The sequence below is a fragment of the Homo sapiens genome, chromosome 9, assembly GCF_000001405.40.
Source record: "Homo sapiens chromosome 9, GRCh38.p14 Primary Assembly".
Taxonomy (NCBI): Eukaryota; Metazoa; Chordata; class Mammalia; order Primates; family Hominidae; genus Homo; species Homo sapiens.
Window position 1 is genome coordinate 87,676,817 of NC_000009.12, and position 18,317 is coordinate 87,695,133.

General features: G+C 44.8%; 1 protein-coding gene across 8 annotated transcripts in view, besides 1 other annotated feature; it reads left to right on the plus strand.

Moving 5' to 3' along the window:
• DAPK1 (death associated protein kinase 1) overlaps positions 1–18,317 on the plus strand; it is a 211,407-nt gene that overhangs the window by 179,589 nt on the left and 13,501 nt on the right. For 7 of the 8 annotated variants that reach the window (NM_001288731.2, XM_047422887.1, XM_047422886.1 and 4 more), the window contains 2 exons: positions 4,588–4,810; positions 9,735–9,923. In NM_001288731.2, the coding sequence (NP_001275660.1) occupies positions 4,588–4,810; positions 9,735–9,923 (412 nt within the window). Of the gene's footprint in view, positions 1–4,587; positions 4,811–9,734; positions 9,924–10,027; positions 10,203–18,317 lie in introns of those variants that run through there. The other variant, XM_005251757.5, reaches the window with a different exon arrangement.
• Positions 17,145–17,363: a silencer, noted in NCBI's record as "fragment chr9:90308876-90309094 (GRCh37/hg19 assembly coordinates)". NCBI's record gives its function as "represses an EF-1alpha promoter that drives an FKBP-Casp9 reporter gene in an ReSE screen in K562 erythroleukemia cells {active_cell/tissue: K562}" and the evidence as "EXISTENCE:reporter gene assay evidence [ECO:0000049][PMID:32094911]".

An 18,317-nucleotide genomic window follows, 5' to 3' on the forward strand; every position in this document is an offset into this window, starting at 1 on the left:
CCTCAGTGCTGTGGGGTTCACCTTCAATGTGCACATCCCTGTCTGTTCCTGTCTCCTCTGCTTCTGAGGAACCTGCCACCTCCCTTTCAGTGTCCAGCAGTGGGAGGAAGACCTGGTAGTGAGTTCTGGCTTTGCTCTGTCACCTTGGGCAAGTGCCTTGGCCTCTCCAAGCCTCAATTTCCTCATCCGAAAGGGAGGAGGATGGCATTAACCACAAAGGTTCCTTGGAGGTTTTCATAGGGAATGTGAGTGAAGGCATAGCATGAGCTGGAAGGCGCCGTGCACGTGGAAGTTACTGCTGCAGACAGGAAACACATCTGTCTCAACTCCTCCTGCTGCCTCCTCCCTCCTTCTCCATTTATTGTGCTGGCCCATGAAACAGGCAGATTGCCAGGAGCTTCTGAACCAGCATTGCCCTGCGTGGAATTTGAAGGAGTGAGCTGGACTGTCAGTACAGGGAAGTCACAGGCATAGCTTGCCCTCATACACAGGAGCAAGTCAGCCTGCAGGTTCAGTCGCTTCTAGAAGCCTCTCACAGGGGCAGCGGTGTCTGTAGTTGACCATGGTTCGAGTCTCCTGAGAGTGGAAGGGCCTGTGGGATTCCTGCAGAAGGAATGAGCTTGCCCCATTCCTGCAGACAGGACAGACGTGTGTGCTGAAGCTCAAAGTGTCAAGATCCACAGGCACAAAACAGGAAGAAAGAGCTGCAGGCAGATTCATGGCACAGTTTCTTTACCAAAATGGGGGCACCCGGGATCCAGTGACTGGATTTAACCAGGAGCAGTTTTCTGCCTTCCCCTGGTCTCAGATGAAGCAGACTCGGGCCGGTACCAAGAATCTCTGTGTGGCAGGAGCTGCGTTCAGGGAATAGATGGGGAAGTTTGCATCTACCCTGTGGGATGCTCACCATGGAAGGTGACCACTGCTCAGCACAGTGGACGCAGCTCAGGTGCTCATGCATGGCATGGTGTGGGTATAGCCTTGGACTCACAAGGAAGACCCAGGGCTGCTGCGGAAGGCTGGAGTAGGCTGGGAGGTGGAATTGCTCCAGGGTCGGTGGCAGCGCGGCAGCATGGGCGCACCTGGTGCACGTGGCGCTGGGGACAATTCAGAGCCCCATTCCTTCCAGCCTGACAGGTGCCACCCCCAATGAGTAACTCCTCATAATAGAATCTGTCCAGCTTTTTTGCTGATTCAGGTAATCAGTCAGGGACATTGCTATCAAGACCCCCAGTCCTTTCCTTTCCCTTTGGTGCTCTGTCTCTGAACCTGTTGGGATTTGAGGTCAGAAGAAAACACCAGAGTACAGACCACCTCGTGTTCTACAGATCATGGTTTGGTGCCGTGGCCTCCACCCCAGCTGCCCCAGCATTTTACAACACACCTTGTGTCACGCTCCCTTGTAGAATTTATAGACAGGGACGCACCTACTACACAGATAGTTTCAAAAGATCAGTAGCATGCCCTAACTGTAATATAACACAGACCTTGTGGGAGCATGCGCATAGTGAAATATGCTGGATGTCAGCATGCATGTGCTAGGACACAGGCAGGAGGAGGCTGGGAAACCCAGCAGGTCCCTGCACTCACGCACAGGATCACTGAGTGCAACCCCCACAGACGCCCACGGACACTGGAGGGCTGGGATGGCAGCTCCAGCACCACAGCAGCGTGCTGAGCTGATGTCCAGAAATCGGAGACAGCACTCAGCAAAGATAAAAGGAAAAAAGCAAAGTGTAGTTATTTGCCAATCTATAAAATAGCAGCATTCGTGGATAACTCAGTATATATTAAATACTGCCCCCAAAACCCTGTGGATGATGTGTAAAATGTAGTTAAGTTCTCAGCTCAGATGATTGTAAACAGGCTTTTCCCCTATATAAATGCTCATCAGATGCTCAGAAGTCAGGGGACCCAGGAGAATTCTTCGCTGTGAGGGGCATTTTGTTACAGGGTGTCTGGACACCCAGCGTCTGGCTGCAGGAATATCCCCTCAACATTGTGGGAACTAAAATGCCACCTCAGATTTCCACAGTGCCCACCAGGGGTCAGTATAGTTCCTGTTGAGGAAGTCTGGTCCTGGCTTAGGAATTGCAAATGGAAATAGGAAAATCAAAGCCTTCAGGAGAGTTATGTATGAGATTGTAGCAATGCAGTTATAACAGCAAAAGTAACACTGGCTTTTGCTGCTGGAAGAGATCAGGAGATCAGAAGTAAGTGAGCGCCTCCCAGGATTTAGAACTGAAGGAATGGTCCCGCCAGGTGTAGATCACATGGAGGTGCCCTTGCGTGGGTCCCTCTGAGTTCTGTCATTTATATGACACTGGTTTATGGCGATTCTACACCTGCCAGGGCTGGGAATTCCGTCTGTCCCCGCAGATGGGCTCCTGGTCTAGAAGGGAGAGCACCCCATAATTACAGGTCGGGGGTCACCATGGAGAGCCACACATGGTGGGAAGAAGCAACCAGGAGGAGATGGCAGGCAAGACAGGTTTTGTGGGTTTGTGGGAACCCACAAAGCAGGTTAAAGCAGAGGGGGTCCTCCTGGGTAAGGGTGAGGAAGAGGCTTCAGGCTGCACCTCACGGCTCCAAACAGGTCCTTGTTAGGGAGCAGGGCAGGAGTGGTGGGAAGGGATGGTGGCCTGTGAGGGGGTGTGACACCAGGGTGGCATGGTCAGAGCCACATCACGTAAACCTTGAGCAGGTTCCCTTGGGTGCACTGAACGCCTTGCCTACACTATCCTGTTAAAAGCTCTTACTTGGTATTAGATGTGAAATTGTTCACATGTCTGTATCTCCCCAAGACCATGGATCTGGGCTGAATCTAGATTTTCCTGTTGTCCGCACTGCGCTTAGCATGGGGTTGGAGGGCCTCCCTAAATGCTGGTTGATGAATGAAGGAGTGAGTGAGTAGCGAACTATTTCATTCTGTGGAGCCTCCTGCTTCTCCATATCAGATGGAAAAAGAAGAAAGTAATGAGGATATTGTGTTCCCAGCCCCCTCTGCAGCATGGAGCTTGTACGTTGGAGTGCCCCTTCTCTCATCCTCTTGTCCCATTACTGCCCTAAAGGATCCAGACACCTCCACACAGAGAGGGACAGATGCTCTTGCTGGTCAGACAGGGCTGATCCTATTTCATGATTAAATCGAAGGCTTCTACCTTTCTTCATCTCCTGGCTTTCCATTTTCTTTCAGCCTCTTAATTGATTAGGGTAAATTTTTGATTATCCTTTTTATTTTATGTGTTTAGTAATATATTAATATTTTAAAATTTATTTATTTATTTATTTATTTATTTTTCTTTTGAGACGGAGTCTCACTTTGTCACCCAGGCTGGAGTGCAGTGGCGTGATCTCCGCTCACTGCAAGCTCCACCTCCGAGGTTCACACCATTCTCCTGCCTCAGCCTCCCGAGTAGCTGGGACTACAGGCTCCCGCCACCACGCCCGGCTAATTTTTTGTATTTTCGGTAGAGACGGGGTTTCACCATGTTAGCCAGGATGGTCTCCATCTCCTGACCCTGGTGATCCATGTGCCTCAGCCTCCCAAAGTGCTGGGATTACAGGCGTGAGCCACCGCACCCGATTTGTTGTAGGTCTGTTCCTAGGCTTCTTAGGTTGTCATGTGGTTGAAACCAAAAGTGATGGTAGATATTTTTAATACTCACATACAGGTGACATTGCCATGAAGTTAAATCAAAAGTGCTAGTAGCTATTTAACAGTAAGATAAGGTTCCTATTCCAGACCTACAGTTATGAAGTGGACATTTGGGCCATCCAATTATGTTTTTCTGATAAATTTCTAAATAAAGTGTGGGGGTCACACACACACACACGCGCACACACACACACACACATTGAAGGCTTCACAGTTGCTCCATCCAACTTGTCATGCATCAAAATGCAATGGAAATAGGCAGATTCTTAGAGACAGAAAACATCTCTATGGTTGCCAGGGGCTGAGCAAAGAGGGGAATGAATGGCAAGTGACTGCTCACGGGTACAGAGCTTCCTTTTGGGGGTGACACAAATGTTCTGGAAGGAGACAGCAGTGATGGTCCTGCAGCACTGAAAATACACTAAAAGCCTCTGAATTTCACAGTTGAAAATGGTGACTTTGATGTTATGTGAATTTTACCTGAATTTTCAAAGTTTTCATTGGAGATAGAAATAAACATACCGCCAGGCACGGTGGCTCACACCTGTAATCCCAGCACTTTGGGAGGCCAAGGCGGGCGGATCACCTGAGGTCGGGAGTTCGAGACCAGCCTAACCAACATGGAAAAACCCTGTCTCTACTAAAAACACAAAATTAGCTGGGCATGGTGGCTCATGCCTGTAATCCCAGCTACTCGGGAGGCTGAGGCAGGAGAATCGCTTGAACCCAGAAGGCAGAGGTTGCGGTGAGCTGAGATCGTGCCATTGCACTCCAGTCTGGGCAACAAGAGTGAAACTCCGTCTCAAAAAAGAAAAAAAGAAACATATCTTCAGCATGGGTAAAAACTGCACACCGGGGATTAGGAATCTTGAGAATCATTATTTGCCTCTTTTTCTGTCACTCACTGGCTCTTTCTCATCCATGCTCAGGATACGCACCGAGGACTCTTCATCCAGCAGCTCCGACCCACACAGAACCTGCAGCCAAGAATTAAGCTCAAGCTGTTTGGCCACTCGGGATCCGGGAAAACCACCCTTGTAGAATCTCTCAAGTGTGGGCTGCTGAGGAGCTTTTTCAGAAGGCGTCGGCCCAGACTGTCTTCCACCAACTCCAGCAGGTTCCCACCTTCACCCCTGGCTTCTAAGCCCACAGGTAGGAACCTCCATGCTGGCCCCGTCTCTCCAGCAGGTGTTGGCTTCCGCACTCTCTCCTTTCAAGGTCTAGGGGGGAAGGGAGTTGTGTTTGGGTCACTTGGCCTATACTGGACCCTGTGGCCTTAGTGGTTTTCAGGTCCAGGTTGGCTGGTAGCCTTGTGTGTGCTGCCTGTTGTCCAGCAGTAACAGACTGACTTGGCAGTAGCAAAACAAGGGCCTCACTGAAATCACAGCCACAGACACAAAGGTCCATCCTCATAAATGTGCAAACTGCAGAATTTGCACAGTCAGCTTTGGGGACACAGTTGCAAATTGCATTGCATTCTACTCAGGGCTCTGGCCTTAGAGACAAAAAGAGCTCAAACTCAAACAGTCCAAGCATAGCACAGATCCAATAGCAGCCCAAGAAGGGTCCTCAACCCTTATCCTTCTTTCTGGAGTGCTACAGGCAGACCCAGTATTGTAGATACATAGAGCAACAAAAAGGGATTTCCAGGAAGCACCATCCTGCTCAGTTCAAGGTTGGATAGAGGTTTCCAGAGGCTCCTTAGTGGTTTTCAGGGATGGTCTCTCTGGTCACATCCACCCTCCTTGGGAACGTTTGCTGCCTTCCGGGCCTTCCACAGACAGGGTTATTGATTCACATTAGGGGGCTGTCACGAAACACCTGGCAGTGAGCAAGAGAAAATGATGCAATCTTGGGTGTGATTCCAACTGAATCCTCCTTTAGACAGAGCGAGTGAGTTTGTGGAAAGATAAGAGACCTTCCAAGAGTTTCCTAAACCAGGACAGTTTTGTGCTTTGTGCCTTGATTCATTCTCTGTATATGATGTCACAGAAGAGCCAGGTCTGTTCCCCAGGTTGATGCTAAAGTTTGTGTTTCTCTTACGTCCCCTCAGTGAGGGAGGACGCTGGGGAGCATGGGTAGCTGCGGAGAGTTGGCTGAGATTTATATTCCCTTTTCAACTTCTGTTCTCTGAACACAGCTATAGAATTGAAATGAGGAGAAGAAAGAATAACCAAAACAGAGTTATAATTCATATTATTATATTGCTGATACATATGTCAATATTTATAGAGTACTGTGTGCCAGGAACTGGAAGAAATATGGTCTGAAGGACGCCTCATTTAATCCAAGTGACAGCTTCCGAGGTGTTTTTACCGCTATTTCCCTGCAGCCTTGAGGGGTCAGTTGGCTTCTCTGAGGCGCACAGGTGGCAAATCCCAGAACATCTGGTGCCTGAGCCAGTGCTTGTCAATAACACCCTGCATAAGGAATTCACAGGCACACCTTTCCATTTTCCAGTGTGATTTTTTTGTTTTTTGTCTTTGCATATTAAGTTAAATGTTATTACAAAAGAGTCAAAACTTTAAAAAATTTAAAAGTAGATAATGGAAAAAATGTGACAGAAGGTTAAGATTAATTTATTATTAAAGAAAAAAATTTATTTTATTTATTTTTTTTTTTTTTTGAGATGGAGTCTCGCTCTGTTGCCCAGGCTGGAGTGCAGTGGTGTGATCTCGGCTCACTGCAACCTCCGCCTCCTGGGTTCAAGTGATTCTCCTGCCTCAGCCTCCCAGGTGGCTGGGACTACAGGTGCATGCCACCACACCAGGCTAACTTTTGTATTTTTAGTAGAGACGAGGTTTCACCATATTGGCCAGGCTGGTCTCAGACTCCTGACCTTGTGATCCACCTGCCTCGGCCTCCCAAAGTGCTGGGATTACAGGCGTGAGCCACCGCACCTGGCCTCCAGTGTGATTTCTGCTCTAGTTGAGGATTTAAGTGGGGTTCAGTTGCTCCCTTAGAGGGAGGCAGCACGCTCCTGCTGTGGTTAAGGGCACTGCAGCCTGAACCTCTGTGGTTAGGAGGGTGGGATATGAGAGAGAGAGAGAGGTCATGAGCTCATGATCTGGAAAGTTTGCAAGGCCTAAGTGGGTGTGCAGATGATGCCCAGGAGCCCCCATTGTGGAGTCCTGGGAGTCACCTGTGGCTCTGCCCTTGGCCTCAGAGGTGAGGTATCCATGGCCTTGCTTCTCCTCAGTATCTGTGTCTGGTCTTTGCAGCAGGTTCCTGGTGAAGGGTGGCTCTGGGTGACCCTTTTTCTGCACGCCCCACCATGGGGGGAGCATCTTTAGCCAGGGATCGGGGAGGGGGTCCTGGCGCGGGGGCAGAAGCCCCTCTGCATGAGAGCCCTAAGGTGCAGGCACACCAGCTGCTTTCAGCCCAGCCGTGGGGTCTGGGGAGGAGGCAGCTGTCCTGGTCCCTGGGCCCCCACAGTCAGTGCCGCCTGCCCCTGGTGGAGGAAGTGTGCGCTGGTGGTTGCCCCTGAAGCCTGGTGGCTGAGGGATCCCTGGGCAGGAGGCATAGCTCGGCAGCTGGACTTGGAGGTGGATGAGACAGACAAGATGCCCCCATCCCTGGACTGGGCGGGTCACCAGGCACTTGCTGCCCTCACAGCTTGTACATCAGCATCAGACAGCGCCCGGGAAATGCAGAGCAGGGCACAAGCACAGGGCACCGCGAGGGCGGCCTGGGGAGATTGGACTTTGGCAGAGGGTATGTGTGTTGGGGGCCAACGGAGCAGCGTGGCTTTGTTAGACACCCGAGGAACTGCCGCTCCTGAGCATGCCTCCAGGGACTGGGCCTGGTTCCTGAAGCAGCAACACTGTCACCTGCCAGGGGGCACTGCTCGTGCCTGGCAGGCCGTGCTGGGGTCTCTTTCAGGCCAGGGCTCTGGACACCAGTGACCTCTCCTAGAATTGTCAGGCCCTTTTCCCTTCAATGAGAGAGATGCCTACATGGCAACATTTATATCATCAGACAGCAAGAAGTTTGCTTTTAGAATTTTGGCCCTTTTCCACTGCCGTTCTCTTGAGAACGCTGGAGGCCAAGGCTGAGCTCCCAGCCAGGAGACCGGACGGGGTCCCCTCGAAGTTTTCTGTTGCACACATCACTCAGCTGTGGGGACACTGAGGGTTGTGGCTGTTGAGCTGTGGGAAGGAAAACATCCAAGGTCATAGGAGGCATGAATGTCCAGGAAGAGTATTTGAAGAAGCCATTCCTATTCCCGCGGAGAGGAGCCTGCGGGAGGAATTCCCGGTGACCAGGTAAAGTGGGTCTCCTGGGAGCCGTCACGTTACACCGCCAGGGGGCAGTAGCTAACAAAAATGATTTCCTGGGATTTCGGTGCTTCCCCATGAAATTATTGTTTTCATAACACCTTGTACAAAGCCTGTCCTAACCTTTTATCCTCCCAACGAAAACTGTCACCGAGGAGCAGGAATGACTGCCATTTACCAACGTCTGCTCTCATTAAGCACAGGGCCACATGCCACTAAAAGAAGGCTTGTTCCTGACAGGCAGGCACCCAGACACAAATTCCAGGTCACAGGGAAGTGGACAGACCCATTCTTGGGCAACCCAGCAGCTTTTGCAGGCTGGGATTAACAATATGCAGAGAAATACACTAAAATGGCAGCTATGTTGACATCAAGACTTACATCATTTTGCTTTTGTTTTCTATTTACATTCCTATCTGCCAACTTTCCTACAGAAATAGAATATGTGTTGGTGTTTTTAAGAATAAATCTTGCCCTCCTAGTGCCCTTTCTCCTTTCCCTGTACCTAATCCTGCCCTTAGGATCCACTTTTCTTCTCCTCATCCCCTCCGTTGGATACCCCCATTATCCATGTCCAAAGTCTTAACTCTTTGGTCTTTAAGTAAGGGATTACCTTGGTGTTTGGATCGCCTGTTTTAAAGTCAGATACCCAGGTGAAATGGTCACTTCTTTAGTGCCTCGCAATGTCTATTGTATTAATGGTAAACCAATGGTACTGCAGTTAAGATCAATGAATCCCTTCTCCAATGCAATTCGTTCACCAAGTTCTTACAGAGCACTCTCTGTGGGCCCTGGGTCACAGCCCTGACCAGAAAGGCAGCTTCTGCCTGCACAAGCCTGGTGGGAGAGACGGGGAGCAGGGCAGGCCAGTGAGTAACTGAGACAGTGAGGAAGCACAGGCTCTATGCCTAAACGCAGGGGACCCAGACTCTGTTATTCAGCTCCCGTACAACACCCACAAGTTCACCATTGTTTACATAATGTTTCCTTTAAACTGACTCACTTTTTAAAATGTACTAAAATACATTGATTTGAAAATGAAAGTTAATATCCCTATCATAAATGGGAACCCAGTGTCACTGCCATAAGTAAAAATAAATGCAGTGAACAGCAACCAATGTGAATAAAATCCCGCTAAACGCCAATGCCCACACCCTCTTCATTAAAAGGGAAGATGAGCAGGTGTTGAGGAAATGCTAAAATCGGAAGGCCTCAAGTGGAGACTCGCTGCAAGAACAACTGAAAGGCCTTCAAGGGAATTTCAAAAAGGAGTAGCTTTCACAGTGTGTGATTCAGCATTATTTAATGCTATGGCCTGCTACTGTCTGAAATCATTTTCCATTTAACCTGCAATAATAATCTCATGTGCAAGAGAGAGAAGTCGCTCAGTGGGAGCTGGAGGAAGACAGAGACTGCGAGTATCAGCAAAGTAGCAGGAAGTGAGAAGGGAAGAAACCCGACCTCTGCCCTCCCACCCTCTCCACAGCCTCCCGTTGGCTGACCCTAAGCAGAAATCACATGGCAAGCCAGCCTAGAGACACAATCCCTAGGACCAGCCACCCGGGCAACAGGGCGGGGCAGAAAAGGTTGTGGGGAGGTAGAGCAAGCGGAAAAGCCCACAGCCTTGCTGGGAACACTGCTGCCCTGCACGTGTGAGGGCAGACACACTCAGCCTGAAGCCAGAGTTGGGGTGGGGACAGAGGCGTGCTCCAGAAAAGGAAACCTCAGGGCCAGCCTGGGAGGGAGACAGGCACACGCTGCCCCCATCGAGTACTCATGTGATCCTTTCCATCCTGCAGTCTCAGTGAGCATCAACAACCTGTACCCAGGCTGCGAGAACGTGAGTGTGAGGAGCCGCAGCATGATGTTCGAGCCGGGTCTTACCAAAGGGATGCTGGAGGTGTTTGTGGCCCCGACCCACCACCCGCACTGCTCGGCCGATGACCAGTCCACCAAGGCCATCGACATCCAGAACGCTTATTTGAATGGTATGCCCTGCCTGCCCCAAGGGAAGGACCTCAGGTTTCCCTTCAACAGGGTTGTAAGTCATCCCTAAAGGGAGCTTGTCCTGAGCTGTATCTGTCACTTCCAGAAGGAAATCCAACACAGACTGATATTCAGAGTGAGCCAGGACTGAAGCATGGCTGGCTACCATCCCTAAACAGTGAAATTAAACACTGGGGTATTGTCAGCGCCTAGTAAAGCACTTGGCATACAGTAAGTGCTTGATAAATGACTGTGGAGTAAATTAATAATATTTGTACATATTTATGGGGTACGTGTGATATTTCATTGCGTGTATAGAATGTGTATGTAATGATCAAGTCACATTATGTGAGGTGTCCGTCACTTTGAGTTTTTATCATTTCTATGTGTTGGGAACATTTCAAGTCCTCTCTTCTAGCTATTTTGAAAAATACAACGCATTGTTAACTATAGTCACCCTATTCTGCTATTGAACACTGGAATGTATTTCTTCTATCTAACTGCATGTTTGTACCCATTAACCAACCTATCTTCATTCCCCTCTCCACACACACACACAGCCTTCCCAGTCTCTGGTATCTATCATTCTACTCCCTACCTCCATAAAATCAACTTTTTTAGCTCCCACATGTGAATGAGAACATGCAGTATTTATCTTTCTGTGCCTGGGTTATTTGACTTAACATAATGACCTCCAGTTCTATCCATGTTGCTGCAAATGACGTGATTTCATTCTGTTTTATGTCTGTGCATAAATAGTGTTCTGTTATGTGTATACCACGTTTTCTTTATTCATTTGTTCCTTGATGGACACTTAGGTCAATTCCGTATCTTTGCTATTGTGAATAGTGCTGAAGTAAACATGGGCGTGCACGTATCCCTTTGATATACTGATTTCCTTTCCTTTGGAAAAATGCACAGTAGTGGAATTACTAGATCATATGTTAGCTCAATTTTTAGTCTTTTTGAGAAATCTCCATGCTATTTTCCATAATAACTGTACTAATTTATATTTCTACCAACAGTATATAAGAATTCTCTTTTCTCTGCATCATTGCCAGCTTCTGCTATTTTTTTTTTGTCTTTTTAATAATAGCCATTCTGATTGGTGTAAGAGGGTGTCTCACTGTGGTTTTGATTTGCATTTCTTGGATGATTAGTGATATTGAACATTTTTCTCATTTACCTGTTGGCCATTTGTATGTCTTCTTTTAAGAAATTTCTATGCAGGTTCTTGCTCATTTTTGTTTTCCTTTCTTTTTCAACTTGTATTTTAGATTCAGGGGTCCCTGTGCAGATTTGTTACCTGGTCATATTGCATGATGCTGAGGTTTAGGGTACAAATGATCCCTCCCTCCCACCCCCTCTAGTAGTCCCCAGTTACTATTGTTGCCATCTTTACATCCATGAGTACCGAATGTTTAGTACCCCCTTATAAGTGAGAACATGCCATATTTGGTTTTCTGTTCCTGTGTTAATTCACTTAGGATAATAGCCTCCAGCTCCATTCATGTTGCTGCAAAGGACATGATTTTCTTCTTTTTTATGGCTTCATAGTATTTCATGATGTATATGTATCATATTGTCTTTATCCAGTCTGCCATTGATGGGCGCCTAGGTTGACTCCGTGTCGTTGCTGTTGTGAATAGTGCTGCAATGAACATACTAGTGCATGTGTCTTTTTGGTGGAACAATTTGTTTCCTTTCGGATATATACCCAGAAATGGGATTGCTGGGTCAAACAGTAGTTTTAAGTTCTTTGAGAAATCTCCAAACTTCTTTCCACAGTGGCTGAACTTATTTACATTCCCACAACGTATAGGTGTTCTCTTTTCTTCACGCCCTCACCAGCATCTCTTGTTTTTTTGTCTTTTTAGTAATAGCCATTCTGATTGGTGTGAAATGGTATCTCATTGTGGTTTTGATTTGCATTTCTCTGATGATTAGTGATGTTGAGCTTTTTTTCATATGTCTGTTGGCTACTTGTATGTCTTCTTTTGAGAAGTGTCTGTTCGTGTCCTTTGCCCACTTTTTAATGGGGTTATTTGGTTTTTACTTGTTCAACTCTTTAAGTTCCTTATAGATTCTGGATCTTAGATTATGCCTTTTTGGATGCATAGTTTGTGAATATTTCCTCCCATTCTGTAGGTTGTCTGTTTACTCTGTTGACAATTTCTTTTACTGTTCAGAAGCTCTTTAATTAGGTCCTACCTGTCAATTTTTGTTTTTGTTGGCAATTGTTTTTGAGGACTTAGTTATAAATTCTTCCCCAAGGTCAGTATCCAAAATGGTGTTTCCTAGATTTTCTTCTAGGATTCTTATAGTTTTGAGGTTTTACATTTACAGCTTTAATTTATCTTGAATTTTTTTTTTATATGGTGAAAGGTGGGAATCCAGTTTCATTCTTCTGCATGTGGCTTACCAGCTATCCCAGCGCCATTGATTGAATAGGGAGTCCTTTCTCCATTACTTATTTTTGTCAACTTTGTCGCAGATTGGGTGGCTGTAGGTGTGCAGCTTTATTTCTGGGTTATCTATTCTGTTCCACTGGTCTATGTGTCTGTTTTTGTACCAGTACCATGCTGTTTTGGTTACTGTAGACCTTTGCCCACTTTTTGATGGGATTGTTTGTTATTTTACTGTTCAGCTGTTTGAGTTCCTTGTATATTCTGGATATTAATCCCTTGTCACATAAATAGTTTGCAAAATATCTCCCATTCTACAAATTGTCTCTTCACTCTGTTAATTGTTTCCTTTGCTGTGCAAAAACTGTTTAGTTTAATACACTCTAAGTTGTCTATTTTTGTTTTTATTACCTGTGCTTTTGAGGTTTTATCCACAATATCTTTGTAGGACCAATGTCCTGAAGCCTGTCCTCTTCTACTGGTTTTATAATTTAGGGTATACATTTAAGTCTTTAATCCATCTTGAGTTGATTTTTGAATATGGTGAGAGACAGGGGTCCAGTTTCATTCTTCTGCATATGGATATTCTGTTTTCCCAGCAGCGTTTATTTACAAGGGTGTTCTTTTCCCCAGTATGTGTTCTTATTGCCTCTGTCAAGTTATTTGGCTATGAATACCTGGATTTATTTCTGAGTTTTCTATTCTGTTCCATTGGTCTATGTGTCTGTTTTTATATCAATACCATGCTGTTTTGGTTACTATAGCCTTGCAGTGTATTTTGAAGTCAAGTAGTGAGATGCCTCTAGCTTTGTTCTTTACACTCAGGATTGCTTTGGCTGTTTGGCCACTGTTTTGTTTCCATACAAATTTTCCGATTGTCTTTTCTATTTCTGTGAAAAATGACATTGGTATTTTGATAGGGATTGCATTGAATCTGTAGATTGCCTTGAGTAGTATGAGCATTTTCACAATGTTGATTCTTCCAATATATGACCACAGCATGTATTTGCATTTGTTTGTGTCCTCTCAGTGTCTTTCGTCTGTGTTTTGTGCTTTTCCTTGTAGGGGTCTTTCACCTCTTTGGTTAAATTTATTCCTGAGTATTTTATTTTTATTGCAGCTATTGTAAATGGAAATGCCCTCTTGATTTCTTTCTCAGCTAGTTCATTTTTGATGTATAGAAAGGCTACTGATTTTTGTAGGTTGATTTTGTATCCTGCAACTTTACCTATTTAATATGAATTTATTTCTCAGATCTAAGAGTTTTTTGGTGGAGTCTTTAGGTTTCTGTAGTTATAAGACCATATCACTTGCAAAGAGGGACAATTTGGGTTTCTCTTTTCTAGTTTATATGCTTTTTATTTCTTTCCCTTTGCCTGATTGTTCTGGCTAAGAATTCCAGTACTGTGTTGGATAGGAGTGATGTAGGGGGCATTCTTGTCTTATTTCAGATCTTAAAGGAAAAGCATTCAGCTTTTCTCTATTCAGTATGATGTCAGCTATGGGTTCATCATGTATGACCTTTATTATGTTGAGGTATGGGTTCGTCATGTATGGCCTTTATTATGTTGAGATATGTTCCTTCTATACCTAGTTTGTTGACAGCTTTTATCATGAAGGGATGTTGAATTTTGTCAAATGCTTTTTCGGCATCTGTTGAGATTATGATATGGCTTTTGTTCTTTCTGTTGATGTGGTGTATTATGTCAACTCATCCTTGCATCCCTGATTGTGGTGTATCATCTTTTTTGTGTGCTGTTGGATTTGGTTTACTAGTATATTGTGAGGATTTTTGCATCTGTGTTTATCAGGGATCTTGGCCTATAATGATGATGATGTTGTTGTTGTTGTTTTTACATTCTTTTCTGGTTTTGTTATCATGGCAATGCTGGTTTCATGGAATAAATTAAGGAGAACTCCTGCCCCTTCAGTTTTTTTTGGAATAGATTGAGGAGAATCATTAGTTCTTCTGACATCCAAACCTGGACTTCTCTTTTTGGGGAGGCTTTTTAATACCAGTTCAATCTCATTACTCATTATTGGTCTGCTCTAGTTTTCTATTTCTTTCTGATTCAATCTTTGTAAATTATCTGTCTAGGAATTTATCCATTTCCTCTAGATTTTCCAGTTAGCGTATAGTTGTTCATAATAACCTCTGATGATCTTTGGTATTTTTGTGGCATCAGTTGTAATACCTTACTTTTCATTTCTCATTTTGTTCTTTTGGGTCTTCTCTCTTTTTTTCTAGGTCAGTCTAGCAAATGGTTTAGCAATTTTGTTTATATTATAAAAGAACAATTTTTCATTTCATCAGTTCTTTGTATTTTTTTAGTATCTGTTTTGTTTAGTTCTTCTCTGACCTTTATTATTTCTTTTCTCCTGCTAAATTGTGGTTTGGCTTGTTTTTGCTTCTCTAGTTCTTTGAGGTGCATCATTCGATTGTTTATTTGAAACGTTTCTGATTTTTTGACGTAGGTGTTTATTGTTATAAACTTCCTTCTTAGCATTGCTTTGGCTGTAGGTTTTGGTCTTGTGCTTTGATTTTCATTTGTTTCAAGAATTTTTTTAAATTTCTCCCCTAATTTCTTTCTTGACCCTGTGGTCATTCAGGAGCATGTTGTTTACTTTCCATGTATTTGTACAGTTTCCAAAGTTCCTCTTGTTATCAATTTCTAGTTTTACTGCACTGTGGTTTGAGGAGATACTTGATATGATTTCAATTTTTTTTACATTTGTTGAGACTTTTCATGTGTCCTGATATATGTTCTATCCTGGAGAATGTTCTGTGTGCTGATGAGAAAATGCGTATTCTGTAGCTGTTGGATAAAATGTTCTGTAAATGTCCGTTAGGTCCACTTGGTCTAACAGGCAGTTTAAATTCAGTGTTTCTTTGTTAATTTTCTGTCTGTATAATCTGCCTAATGCTGAAAGTGGGGTGTTGAATTCCCCAAATATTGTTGTATTGAAGTCTATCTGTTCCTATAGATCTAATAATATTTGCTGTAAATATCTGCATGCTCTGGTGATGGATACATATATGTTTAGAACTGTTATATCTTCTTGCTGAATTGATCCCTTTTGCATTATATAATGACCTTCTTTTTTTTTTTTTGACTTAAAGTCTGTTTTATCTGATATAAGTACAGCAACTTTCGCTCACTTTTGGTTTCCATTTTCATGGAATATCTTTTTGTATCCCTTTACTTTCAATCTATATGTATCTTTATAGATAAAATGGATTTCTTGTCAGCAGCATATAGTTGGGCCATGTTTTATTAGTCAAACAGCCAGTCTGTATCTTTTAGGTGGAAAAGTTAATTCATATACATTCAAGGTTATTGTTAATATGTGAGGGTTTATTCCTGTCATTTTATTAATTGGTTTTTTGTTGTTTCATATATTCTTTATTCCTTTCTCCTTCATTATCATTGTGGTTTGGTGGCTTTCTGTAGTTGTAATATTTGAGTCCTTTCTCTTCCTTAATATGTTTCCTCTACCAGTGGATTTATGCTTTCGTGTGTTTTCATGATGAAAGAATTGTCCTTTCACTTCCAGGTGTAGAACTCCTTTAAGCATTGTTTATAGATTTGATCTAGTGATGATCACTTCCCCCAGCTTGTCTTGTTTTTGGGGAAGACTTTATTTCTCCTTCACTTATGAAGCATAACTTTGCTGTCTGTAGTATCCTTGGCTGACAATTTCCTTCTTTCAGTTCTTTGAATATAGCATTTCATTCTCTCCTGGCCAGTAGAATTTCTGCTGAGAAATCTGCTGTGAGTCTGACGGGCGTTCCCTTGTAAGTGACTAGACTTTTTTTTTTTTTTTTTTTTTTTTTTTTTTTTTTTTTTTCTGTTTTCAGACTTCCCTTTGTCTTTGACTTTTGACAATTGGACTATAATGTGCCATGGAGAGGACCTTTTTTCGATTGTATCTGTTTGGAGAGCTCTACAGCTTCCTGCATCTGGATTTCCAAATCTTTTGCCAAACCTGGAAAGTTTTTAACAATTATTTTAATAAATAGATTTTTTATCTCCTTCAGTTTCTCTTTACCTTTGGGACACCAAAAACTTGAATATTTGATTGCTTTATGGTGTCCCATATGTCACAAGAGTTTTGTTTATTTTTTTATTTTTATTTTTTTAATGTTGTCTGATTGGGTTATTACAAAAGACCTGTCTTCAATTTCTGAAATTCTTCCTTCTGCTTGATCTAGTCTATTGTTGCAGCTTTTGAATAAATTTTCTGTTTTATTCAAGAAGTTCTTCAATTCTAGAATTTCTATTTTGATTCTTTGGTAAACTTCTCATAATATTCTGAGTTGTTTTTCTGATATCTTTGTATTGTTTTTCTGGATTCTCTTGTACCTCACTGAACTTGTTTAATGTCATGATTCTGAGTACTTTTTTTAGATTGCATAGGTTTATTTTTCATTAGAATCTGTTGCTGGAGAGTTATTGTGCTCTTTCGGAGGTGCAATATTTCCTTGCTTTTTCATGTTTCTTGTGTCCTTACATTGATATCTGTGCATCCGGTATAATAGTCACTTCTTTGAACTTTTTGAACTTGCTTTCATAGGGGAGGGCATTTTCCTGAAGATGTGTCTATGGTGTTGGTTGAGTAGGGCACTTTGGCTTTGATTCTGGGTGCATGCAGTAGCATAGTGGCCATACGATTTTTTTTCAGCTGTAAGCAGCTCCAGTGGTGCCTGTAATTTTCTCAGTGGCTTAGGGTATGGTTGTTAGTGGAGGCTGTGGTAAAGTTTTTCTGGAGATGGGGATACCACGTGGGCCAGTCCTCAGAACCTAGTGGTGGCAGTGGTGGGCTGAGCATGCCTGTCCTTGGGCCCCAGGGTGGTATATGCTGGTACTGATACTAGTGGGTCCAGGTAGGTTGATTCTTGGGCCTCCAGACAGCTTGCTCAAGTGCTGGTAGTAGTAGCAGTGGGCCAGGTGGGTAGTCAGGTTCTCAGTTCCCTGGGCAGCAGGCGTGGTGTGAGTGATGGCAGTAGTCATAATGAGACAGCCCTCTGGCTCCCAAGCAATCTGTGCTGATGTTGGCAGTGGCTGCAATGGGCTAGGCAGGCCAGTACCTAGCCCTGCAGGTGGCATATACAGGTGAGTGCCAGCTGTGATGATAGTGGTAGGTTGGATGGGCGTGACCTCAGGCCACTAAGAGGAGTGCTCAGGTGCCAGTGGTGGTGGACTGGGCTAGGTGATCCCCAGGTCCCCAGACAGCATATTCAGGCTCTTAGGGGATTGTGAAGTCAAGCTCAGCAGGCCTGTCGTCAGGTCCCCTGGTGGTGCATGTGATCCCCAGCCTCTGGCAAAATGCTTGAGTCAGGGAGGCAGTGGCTGCACTGTGGCTCTGCTACTGGGAAGAGTGGTCCTGCTTTCACTGTCAGCAGCCATATGCGGCCAGCTGGGGAGTGTATGATTTGCACATACTTTAGACTCAGTGGACACAGCAGCAGTGGCTGCAGACAGGGGATTCTGTCCTTGGGGCAGATGAAAATGCACAGCCACTACTCTGCTAGGGACAGTGGGGTCTCTGTCAATGGGTTATGCCTAGACCTTGGTGGCAGCTGCCAGCCAAGGTGGTGGCTGCAGGCAGAGATGTCAGTGGGGCTCTAGGGATATAGAGATGCCGAGGCCATTGGGCTACAGAGCAGGATGCAGTCTACGGGTGTTTGGAACATACAAATGGTGCCGCACTGTAGCTGCTTCGGACTCAGAGAGTGCGTGGGAGCCAGCCTGAGCTCCCTCTCTGGAGCAATACTGTCATGCAGTCTCCAGGCAGCTCCCTCAGCTAATCTCAGGGCCCACATGGGTGAAGGGTCCCCCTGCACCAGGGGCAAAAATTGCGGGAGTTCATGGTCTGTGTGCATTTTGCTCTCTTAAAAGTTGGGCTTCCTCTGAGCTCCCCAGAGCAGAGCTGGCTGTGGCAGCACAGAGAGAAGAGAAACTTGTCTTGGGACCCCAGGCCCTGCTCCCA